At 42.0% G+C, this 12,021-nt stretch overlaps 1 protein-coding gene across 2 annotated transcripts in view; it reads right to left on the bottom strand.

Moving 5' to 3' along the window:
- Window positions 1-12,021, bottom strand: part of NOS1AP (nitric oxide synthase 1 adaptor protein) — a 300,785-nt gene that overhangs the window by 32,486 nt on the left and 256,278 nt on the right. For both annotated transcript variants that reach the window (NM_014697.3, NM_001164757.2), the window contains exon 5: window positions 4,865-4,973. In NM_014697.3, the coding sequence (NP_055512.1) occupies window positions 4,865-4,973 (109 nt within the window). The remainder of the gene's footprint in view (window positions 1-4,864; window positions 4,974-12,021) is intronic.

The following is a 12,021-nucleotide window of genomic DNA, read 5'->3' as shown; positions in this document are numbered from 1 at the left end:
ATGATCTTAATCTATGGAATTTACAATGCCAAAGCATGAAAATACATTTATATTTGGACTTCTACATACAGTAGGATCTACAGTACTAAGGCTCTGAAATGGTAGATGGGTTAGGTTTTTGTCCAACACATTATTTTGTGGCTTTGATTATATAATTTGGTTGAGGTGATGCCTTGGACATCAGAATATTGCTCAGTATAAGGAAAGTTTAGTTTCAAAGCAGGTGTGATTTTCTACATTGACAGGACATACTGCATCTTAAAGTTTCCAACAGATAGCTGTGTTTTTCCTTCTACTCTGCTAGTCCATGAAACTTAGTACCCCAGAGAAAAGAAGTCTGAGTTACAATCCCAGTGCTGTCAGAACCAACTGGGTGACTGTGGACAGTTAATTCTCCTTTCTCAGTATTGATTTTCTCATCCACAAAGAGAGTGATTCAGACTAGATGAGTTCTGAGACCCATGATTCCTGCATTTTGACTTCCCAACTCAACCTAAAGTATAAAAAACAGACTCTTTCCCTAACTTTAGAACTTTCCTATCTTTCATCTCGTAAGTTTGACCAGGCAAGTGACTTATTCTTTAGCACATGGCTGTCATCATCATTCAAAATCCATTGCAACCTCTAAAGGACAGTTCAACTTCACAGCTGTGGCCCCCAATTTGATAGTGACAGCATTATAGGAGGAAATTATTTCTCCTAACCCAAACCAATCGAGCTGTGATTGCAGGCAAAATTATTTCAAGGAGCTGCCCATGAAGATAATGGGGAGATGCCTGCAGCTCCTGTTAATCACCAGCACTTCACGCACTGATGCATTAATAAGTGCAGTCACTGGTAATCAGGGCAGACAGCCATATACTCCTAGAGCTAGAAGAAAATGACAGGAGGATGACATCCACTCCACGGGAGAGGTCAAGAGACCATGCAAGAGTCTTCTCGAGAGGCAAAAGGCCCTGCAAATGAATACTATCATTATATCCCCCAAGGAGGGGAAACAAGGAATGCCCATGTTATTAGCAAGCATCTCCACTGGATGCTCACAGTGAGGAAAAGACCCACTCCCATCCCTCCTTTCTAGCATGGGTCTGAAGAGTGCTAGGGTCCCTCCACCACAATCCTGACAATCCTTCCCAGTCACAGAGAATTTGTTCCTTAAAGATGACGTCACTTCACACACAACAATCAGCACTCCTGAGATGCCTTTCATCTTATTTGATGGCTAGAGAAAACTCAAGTCCAGAAAGGCTCACGTATCTTTCTTATGAGTTTTGTGTAATAGGGTTTAGCGTTCAAAGTCCTGGCCTGAGAAGGAGGAAGCCTGTTTCTAATTTCAGTGGCATCATTGATTCACTGTGTGACCAAGGGTGATTTACTTCCTTGGGCCTTTTCTTCTTCAACTACAAAATTGAGTCAATATTAACTACAAAAAGATACTATGAGGAAAAAAGGAAAATCTATGTTAAAGTGATTTGGGCCATTCGGAGTTAAGGAGCTCTTCATACCCATGTAATAATTACAGCAGAACCCAGTTACAAATGGGTCTTGGAAAACAAAGCAACTTCTGAGTTATATAACTTCCTCATGAGCCAACAACAATAGTATAATGGAGTGGGTAAGAGTGTGAGCTCCACAGTCAGACCCTCTGGGTTCAGTTCTGACTCCATTACTTGTTGAGTCTTTACACACATTATGTACCTTTAGGCCCCATTTTCCCACCTATAAAATGAAGAGCATAACAGCACCTACCTCACAGGGCTGCTGTGGGAATAAAGTTAGATCATTCATGTAAAGAGCTTTGAACAGTCTCAGGCATATAGCAACTAATCAAAACAGGTTAGATATTATTATCTGATGTAATATGAGGCTGGAACTTAGATAATCTAGAGTATAGAAGAATAGCAGGTACCATGTTATATTCCTGCAATATTTTTGCTTTCTAGCTTCTGGTGAAAGCCCACTTGAAAAAAAACTTAGCTCAAGGATACAACTCCCAAGGTGGGAGCCACACTGGCTATCTGTGTGAGTGGCCCAAGGAAGATCCATAGGTACAGAGTAATAGCTGTGCAGGGAACAAGGTCGAGGGAGGCCCTCAACCAGGAAAGCTAAGACATCTGACCCATATTCTCAACCAAGAGAGGAGGTAACCCTTTCCCCATGTGAACTCTAGGGTGATGATGACACCCCATTAGAGGTCATGAGCATATACGCAGGGGACATGATGTGATATGAAACAGCAATAACCAAAGTCCCAACACAAAAAGGATCTCAGACAAGGTTTTTCTACACTATGACCAACACGAGGGCTCCGGAGAACACCCACATCTGCGGGCTTCCAGTCAAGAGGACTCCCTATTGACTTCCAACAACCCAGCAACATCTCTGCAACACACATGTCCTCTATAGTCCTTTCCCCCCGCCCACCACTTCTGAAGCATTCCTATGATTTGCCAGTTAAAACTCCTTCCCAAGTTAACTATTACCTCTTGACATTAGAAGTGCTTTATAAAAAAGGTAAATCACCATGTTTGGAGGCTAAGCAGAAGGGCAAGCAAAACCTTGCAGATGTGTTCCCCAGCCCTCCCCAGTTCTGCATCCTTTGCCGAACAATTCACTTCCCTTTCTTAGCTTGGAAACCAGCCTTCCCACCTACAGCTCAGCAGCAACAGGGCTCAACGCCCAGGCTGACTGGAAACAATCCCCTCAGCTGCATGGCTCCAGGCCAGGAAAGGGCCTGAGAACCAACTCTATGAAGAGCTAGGGTCTCAGTAGGTGAGGATGAAAGCGGTATAGGAAACAGGAAAGCCAGAGATCAGAATTCGCTGTAAGAGCTACGAGACATGGAAAAAAAATTGACATGATAGGGAACCAGATGACTACTCCTTTTCACGGATAATGGGAACTCCATTCTGTGCTTCACTTCAAGATCAAAGTTCCAAGTGAGCACTGGTCTTAAACTCAGGTTTTGTCAGAAGTGGATGCCCCCACTGCGTCCGTATTGCTATGTTAGATCTGATAGCAAGGCAAATATAACATAATGGTCCTCTTACCTAGGTTTCCTGCTCAAAATTCTTTTGTCCTGCATGTCTCCCTGGTTCTATTCTAGCCAGTGCCTATTCATGAGAACTCAGGCAAGTCATTTAACCTCTCTGAGCCTCAGTTTATTCATCGGTAAAATTGGGAAGTGAAAGTTACATGTCTTACCTTCTTTACAGACGTGTTATAAGGATAAAATAAGATTAACTATTAAAGAACCTGGCAAATGATAATGCGTTATTTGTAACTCTAATAAATTCCAAGGTCCACATGGTCCAGTCTTTGTACGAAACTAAAGTCAGAAGCACAGTCAAATACTCAAAATGAATTAAAAGGGAATTCCAGTCTTTTGTTGCATCTGTCAGAACCTTACAGACGAGCCAATTCATGACCATCAGGGAGACTTTGTATTTCCTTTTCTCTCCTCCCCAGGTCCCCTACACAAGGCCACATACGAGCCTTTCACTTTCCCAAACTCTAAACTTTCTCATCTCCAGCGCCTATGGCTTTTCTTTTTCTCCCTCTTCCTATTCCCCTTTCTATCAGTTCTTTAATGCAGCTTGACTTAGCCTCATTTATGTTTTTTCCCTCTCAGCTATACTATTATCTAGATGTGAAGTCTGGCAAGTTACTCTTTTATTCCTGCCATCTTTCCAGTTGTAGCACTTTTCATCCAACTCCATGATTTGCATTTAAAAAGCCTGGAACAGGGTGGTTAAGGGCACAAATCTCCATAGAGGAAGAGGCTAAGTTAACAAAGCATAATTCTCTTTGTGGAGCTAGGGTAGGGAATAGGACACCCATCAGTAAATCTGGACCCTGGCATGTGTTATTGACAAGGTACTTGACAAGGTACCTAAACATCTGCTAAAGAGGCCTGAAGACAAAAGATGCATAAAATGAAGTTCTTGTAGAAAGCCAGGCTTAGTAGTTTGTTTCTAGAATGATGGACTTACTAGGGTCCTTAGGGGCACAAATAGTGTTTTCCAAAATCTCTTCTGCAGAAAAACAGTTCCCAGGATATTAACACATATTACATGGAAAAAATATGATTCCATTGTGAAATTAGTTTGGGAAATTCTGGGTTAAACAACATGTTTTTTATCATCAGACCTTCTCAGCAACTTAAATCAGGTAGTTTTAACATGAAACATTTTGGCTGATAAATGTTTTACAGAACACATTTAGGAAATGCTGATTTTGACGATTCTTTTCATTTTATAGATGAGAACGCTGGGACCTACATAACGTCACTCAGGGTTCCAGTGAGAGGCAGGGCTAGATCCTAGGCTTCTAAAACCCCAGTTGTGTGTGTTAGACTCCTGGGGGAATGACATTAACATAAAGAATGCCTCTTCAGAATCCTCAAAGTTGCATTTACTTGAGTATCAAGGTTGCCATAACAAATAATCACCCAGGATAACCAATATCACACACTGAGTCTAAACCAGACTCCATGTGTATTCATATTTTGTAGCCCCCTAATCAATATACAGAATTGTGATGAAGGGTCTCCTTAGTAAATGACAATGCTTTTTTCCTACCCCAAGGCTAAGGTTAGCATCACTCCCGGTGCTGTTTAACTGCTCTCATCCCAGAGCACGTAGTCAACGGTCAATCCCTTTGCATTTATCTGTATGTAACTAAGTACAAAGTTCAGATGATGCTAAAAGAGAATTCCATTATATAGGAGCAATGACAGACGACTGAGATAGTTGCCCCATGTCGGCATTACCACAGCTGTCTTCAACAGGGAGACGGGCCAATGTTGGGGGTGCTTTGGAACCATTAGAGGAAAATAGCAGATGGACGGCAACCGCCTCTTTACCTTCTTCTTGGATTTAAAGACGTTACACCTGAAGATATTGCTGGCACCATCTCGAGCGATATAGCTGAAGATCTTCAAGTCTTGGGAATCATGAGAGACATAGAAGATCCTAAAGGAAGAACAACAGAAAAATGCACTGAAAATGGCCTTAGGTTCAAATCTCCAACCAGGAAAGCTCTGTTTAAGGACACTCTGAAGCACAGCTCATGAGAGCCAAGTTATTACAGAAAGTCTTCTTCCTTCAGGATCAAAAAGTCACAATGCAGGAGGCACTTTCAACAGATTCCACAAACACTAACACTGTGACTTTCAGATTTGGTAGAGGGGGCAGGGGTAGGACATGGAACCGACACTATTGTTAACCATCTCCTGAGGTGGCAAATCTGTCCCTGTAACTTGTATGTTAGAAGGAAAAATCATTCCCATCCTTATCAGAGCAACAAACCTGCTTCTTACCCAGAGAGATGCATACACGTTTTCTGATGCCTGTTTACAATTATCCCCAAATGCAGAAACTTAGGGAACCAGCAATGTTTACCACATTGGGAGGGACTAAGATACTCTTAGTTCCTTTGGTGATAGTGATCCCACTCTCTGTCCCCTCTCTGCCTGGACCACAGCATCCATGTGTTCATTCCATGATTCAACCAATGCCACTGAGTGCACACTGTGGGCCAGGCACTATCCCAGCAGCCAGGGTCACAACAGGAACAGGACAGAAAAAGCCCCTGAACTCATGGAGCTTACACGTAGACAATGCAAATAAGCAAATATAAAATAAGTGCTATGAAGAAAAATAAGGCAGACTAAGGGATGGAGCATGATGGGGGCTATTTTAGACAGGGTAGCCAGGGAGGTCACACTGAGAGGCTGAGATCTGAATGGGGTAAGGGAGACAGTCACTGAGACACCTGGGCCAAACCATGGCAGGAAGTGGGAATAGCAAGTTTACAAGCCCTGCAGTGTTCAGAAGGTATTAAAAGCATTCAAGGAACACCCAGGGAGGCTCAACGGAGTGTGGTTCAAGTGGAGTATGGTCAGCAACAAGGTAATAGATGCAGCCAGAGGCCAAAATGTAGAAGGCTTTGAAGGTCGTGGCTTATATTCTACGTGAGATGAGAAGCCATCGGCTTTTAAGCAGAGGACTGACTTGCTTATGCTTTAAACTAAAGGATCATTCTGGCTGCTTGGGGTGGGCAGAGGTAGGAACAAGGGGAGGCTGGAGAAAGGGGGAAAATTATAAGCAAGGCCCTAGAGGCTGCATCTTAAGATGGCTTAGGACAGGGCCCCCCCAGGGCCTCCAGGTCTGACTGCTGTGGGGTCGGTGCAGGGAGTTGGAGCGGGTGCATCAGTGGAATTAGTTTTGGGCAGTCCAAGGAGTGTATTGCTCTTGGTAGCACCTAAGAGGCCACATCATTTCTGCAAAACATTTTTCACCACTAACAACACTGATGGCTTTCATTCAAGGAGTTAACAGGTCTGATTTGTTTTAGTGTAGGTCTGTGCTGTATAGAAGAAAGAGAATGGGATTGAGAGTCTACAACTTCATCTACGACTTTGCCACTTACTAAAAAATAAGTTATGTCACCCCTCAGAGGCTCAGTTTTGTTATCTGTACAATGGGACTACTAATAGTAACCCTTCCAAGAGTTATTGAGGAGGTAGAATAGTTAGTAAAATGCCATCTTACATCCCCTTACTGATATAGCCTCTAAACAGCCTAGTAACTGAGATTCTTGCCACAGGACCCCAAGAAGCCTGGGAGGAAAGTCCAAAAGAAAGGTGGGCACAGAGAGGAAAACAACACTGTGAAAAAACCCAAGTTCACCTTGGGGACTGTAGTTTCTCTGCTACACTCAGCTAGCAGGCATTTCAGTACATCTCACATGTCTATCATCTCTAAATGGTTCTGAAATAGAGGCTGTTTAGTGTGGTTTCCAGTCCCCTATCCTTCTAATGATGTCAAACTGTCTTCCTAACATCAAAGGGACAAATCTACAATTGTATCTCAGCATCTCCTGCCTGAGTTCCAGGCCCATTCAGCCAACCTTCCTGGACATCTCCTCCTGAATGGTTCTCAAGCTTCTCAAATTCCTCATACCCCCGAGTGAATTCATCATATTCCCCATAATTCTCCATGTCCTATCTTGATAAGGGGACACCATACCTACTCAAGCCAGAAACCCAGGTGTCATTCTCAACAGCTTCCTCCATTGTTCCCCAATAGCCATCACTCAGGAGCAAGTTCCTTGCAGACTCGCTCCCTAATATGTCTCTGATTTATGTTTTTCTCTTCAACTCCAAGCTATTGATCATCTAGAGTTCTCATTTTTCACCTGGATTTTTACAACATCCTGTAAACAGTGTGCTGCTCTGCTTCCTAACTCACCTATTGTCAACCCATTCTCTACATTGCCAGCAAAGTGTTATTTTTAAAAAAGACAAATTACATCCCATCATTTTCCTCTTAAAGCCATCCAAAGGCTTCCTACTGCTTTTAGGATAAAGTCCAAACTCCTTAGCATGGTGTACCTACCTTTCTGCAGTCATCTCTCTCCAGAGTCCTGACCTACACAGGCCTGCAGAACTAGGTGTGTGCATCTTCCCAATTCTGCAACTGCTGTGAACACCTTTGATGGCCGCCAAGACTTGGTTCAGAGCAGCCTTCCCCTCCCTTTTCTTCAGCAGTCTGAGTTGCTGAATACCCTGGGGCTCAACGTTGCCACAGCACATATCTCACACTATGATGTTTTTACATGTGCTCCTTGAAGGAACAAGGAACACATCTTGGTATCCCCAGTGCCAGCACAGTGATTGGCACATGGGAGGTTCCTTGCCTGCTTAGAAGGGAGGGAGGTGTTCCAGCTGTCATTAATGCTCATCTATAATGTGATCTGCCTGGCTATTCATTTTCCCCAAGGAAGTCAGATCCAGTTAGTTCAGCATCATACGTAAAACTTCTTGGATTCTTTAGTTAACTTATTCTTATGTAATACCCTAAGGACTGAGAACTGGATTTAAAACTGATACAGCAGATTTGAATGCAAACTGGCATGCCCACAAGACACAGAGATGTGGAAGGAACAGAGGAACGGCAGTAAGCCAAGGTTAACTTAACCTTAACAGATAAAGCATCTTTTCAGAAAATCTGATGAGAACTGTACATGGATGCAGCCACTGCCTTTGGACCACAGCTCTCTGGAGACTGCTCTGCTATATCTGATTTCAGAAACTTAGCGTGTTGTTATTAAAAGTAAATAATCTCTAGCTAACCAAAAAGTCAGCTAGTTAAAGCTTAGAAAAGTTTCCACCAACATAACCAAGAGGCAGAAAGTTTTTCCATGCGACCTCATTCATCAACAAACTAATAAATCCGCAAATTAATGTCTCTTGGGTCCAAATTTCCAGATCAAGAAATACATTCCAAGAACCCTTATTTCTCCATTACTTGGTTTTCTTAAGCACTGTGATTGTGGGGGTGGTAGAAATTGGGGGAGAGTAGAGGAAGGTGAGTGCTCAAGAGAATAGGAAAGATTTCCCTTTTTCTTTCCTTCTTCATCTTTACCCTTAAGTCAGTCTAGCCTAGTTCTGATAATCCTGCTTCCAAAAAGTACCTTAGTCAATTTTCCCAACTTTCACTATAATTATAAAGAGTAGGATACCAAAGTAGTTCATATAATGTTAATAAGGTTTTATTCCCCCTTCAACTTTCCTAAAATTTCTTCTCCTTTAAATTTCTTTTCTCTCTCTCTCTCTCTCTCTCTTTTTTTCTTGGTGAAATCTTGGCTCACTGCAACCTCTGCCTCCCAGGTTCAAGTGATACTTGTGCTTCAGCCTCCTGAGTAGCTGGGATTATAGGTGTAAGCCACCACAGCTGGCCCTAAAATTTCTTACTTTTATTTCAAAATATGTATAGCATTATAATTTTTACTTACTAACAGAACTGTTATGCTTTTACACAGTAATAAACCTTTCTGCAGATTCATCATATGTCCACAGACTTACCATAAATGACTGAAAGAAAAACATTATCTGGAAGAAACTGGATTTTGGGTTTATCATCATGCTGGAATTTAGGTTGACAACGTGATTTTAAAAACAACTAGATTCACCACCAATACCCCCCTTCTCAAACTATTCATCTATAGGTAAACTCGCTTCTCTTAAGATCATAGAAAAACAACAACAACAGCAGCAACAACAATTTAGAGTAGAAAGAAACCTATGGGGTCATAAGGCCTGGATACAAGCCAGCATCTCTGTCTGTCAGGATTCATCACTGATAGGCAATTCACTCTCTAACAAAGTATCTGATCCCTTTTTAAGAGGTTCTAGTTACCAGGAAATTTTCCCTCATGTTGACTGGAATTCTGCCAACAGGAATGCAGTGGAGGAAAATGGCTGAGAACACTGGCCCTGAGGGGGACAGACCTGGATTTCAGCCCAAGCTTTGCCACTTACTAGCTGGGACACCCTGGTCATTATCTCAACCCCCTTCTTGTTCTTCACCTGTGAAACAGGTATGATCATTGTGCTGTACCTCACTCATGCTAGTAAGGTTTAAAGAATGAGTATGTGCAGAGGGGTCAGCTTACAGCAAATGGTTAATAAATGTGAACTGCTCTAATTACTGCCACACTACTGCTCTAGTTCCATCCTTAGGGATCTCAGAGAACAAGGCTACTCCTCTTCCAAATGGCCAACATTTTAATATATGGAAACAATATCATGTTTATATTTACTCCTTTCTTAAGTTTATTTTAAGTTCCGGGGTACATGTGCAGGATGGACGGGTTTGTTACATAGGTAAATGTGTGCCATGGTGATTTGCTGAACCTATCAACCCATCACCTAGGTATTAATCCCAGCATGCATTAGCTATTCTTCCTGATGCCCTCCCCACTCTCCGACTCCTCTGCACTCCTTTCATTTTTAAAGTGAATTACTTCTTCCTTCAACAGTTTCTCAGTTGGCTCATTTTCCAAGTCCCTTATTTCTCTGGCAGGTTTGCACTGTGGAAAGAGCATGGGCTTGGGGATGAGAAAGATCCAGGTTCAAGTCTTAGCTTTGCCATCTTCTAGCTGCTGGCCTGAGGCAAAAAACTCAGTTACATAATCCTTCATTTCCTCATCTAAAATAGGCATATTAATGACTTCTTCATGGTATTGTTTTAAGCATTAAAACACACATACCACATTTTACACAATGCCCAACACATGTTAAGTTGCTTGCTCAATAAATATGAGTTCCATCTTCTCTTAACTTTTTCCGTACATATTCCAACTTGCCAGTGACTATCTTAAAATGCAGCTCACAGAACTGAACTCATTTGTGAGGGATCTGAACAGCACAGAGTATATTTGGATAAATATTTTCTATGCCCTAGAACTGAATTTTTAGCAAAGCATCTCTGATCATGTTTTTTTTCTTCTGTTATAACATCTCATTGCTGGTTCACACTGTAGTCTACTCAAATGCTCAAAGCTAATTTGCGCAACAGCTGTAAGGCAGATTTCCTGAACATACTTGGGTAACTGGTTTTTTAGGACTAGCTCTCAGTGTTCATGATTTCCTTTTCCAAGTTCTCACAGACCATCTGCTTAATGATCTCTTCTAGAATTCTGCCCAGGAGCAATGACAAATTCACTAGTTGGTAATTCCTGATGCAGGTTTGCCCCCTTTCTAAAAACTGCAATATTTTATTTTTGCAATCTTTTTGTTTCTTCTCCATCCCTCATGATTTTGCAAAAGATGACCAATCACTATTTTGCAATCATATTTTTCAGGAACCCAGAAGCCAGTGATTCAGGCCTGGACACATGGTAGTGAGGAATACCTTCCTTTTTCCTCTTGGTTTTGAACTTCGGTTTTTTAAAATTACATATGTTCTAGTGTTTCTAATTTGAAGATCAGTTCTCTACTTGAGAAGAAAAAAACCAAGACAGTTAGAAAAATGGGATTGAGATTTTCCCCTTGCCATGTGCCAACTCTCTCTTCCTTCACACCCCTTTTTCTCTCATCTTCAGCCTTTTCCATAAGCCTAATGCATTCAGGGTTTCAGTTCTCTCAGTAATTGTTGTTCCTTTGCACTCATACTTGTTTTTAAGCTCTGCTTTCCATATTGTATACTTTTCAAGAAGCATTTTATGAAAATCTGGGCAGTCACATGATTTTTCTTCATGATCTCACATTTTTGGGGCCTGACTAGAATCAATTATGTTGTCTTCAAGTTCTCATCCTTTATTCCCTCTTTCAGTCTCTGGCCATGAGACCTCATCTTACTCTGTCATCATCCCTGGCCTCATCCAATAATCCAACTGAACACCTGAATAGAACAAACAGGTTGAGTAAGAGGGAATGCCTCCTGCCTGATTGCTTTGAGCTGGGACATTGGTCTTTTCCAGCCAGGTCAGACTCTTCTTGGGTCTCAAGCCTGCCAATGTGCAGACTGAAACTCACACCATCAGCTTTCCTGGTTCTCAGGTCTTCAGACTCAGACTGGAACCATATATTAGCATTCCTGGGTCTCCACCTTCCCAATTGCAGATCTTGGAACTTCTCAGCCTCCATAATCATGTGAGCCAATTCCTTAACTATTTCTTATATGTGCCTGTATATATTAAGTATGTGTACCTATACATAAACACATGTAATATGTGTAAGCATGCACACCCACACATATATCCTATTGGTTCTGTTTCACTGGAGAATCCTAACACAGCCATATTCCCCCAGGTATTAGCATTCTACCTCTAATGCCCCTCATCTCCATGGGGACTGCCTGCTGACTTTAGGACTGCAGAGGCTGTGAAAGGTCTCCAGTCACCTGCAAGGTTTCCTGAGTCTACATCCATGTTCCTCGCCTCCTGCTCAAGATCCACTGGGTCTCTCCCAGCAAGCCCAGGACCTGCCACGCAATTCTCTCCTGCCATAGCCCAAAACAGAACTTTAGGGTAGAGGATGTAGACTACCAAGGGGCCTTGAGCAAATTATTTTCCTTCTCTCAACCTTCTTCTTTTTTAATCGTTGAAGTGAGAATAATAAAAACATCTTTCAGGGTGATTATAAGGTTCAGATGCGACAACAGATGCACAAATATTCTCTAACCCATGAAATGTTGTACAAATACTTGAAAACTGTGGAAACAAACTTAGAAA

The sequence above is a fragment of the Homo sapiens genome, chromosome 1 (assembly GCF_000001405.40).
Source record: "Homo sapiens chromosome 1, GRCh38.p14 Primary Assembly".
NCBI classification, from domain to species: domain Eukaryota; kingdom Metazoa; phylum Chordata; class Mammalia; order Primates; family Hominidae; genus Homo; species Homo sapiens.
Note: the sequence above shows the minus strand (reverse complement) of the source record. Positions and strands in the feature narration are given on the sequence as shown.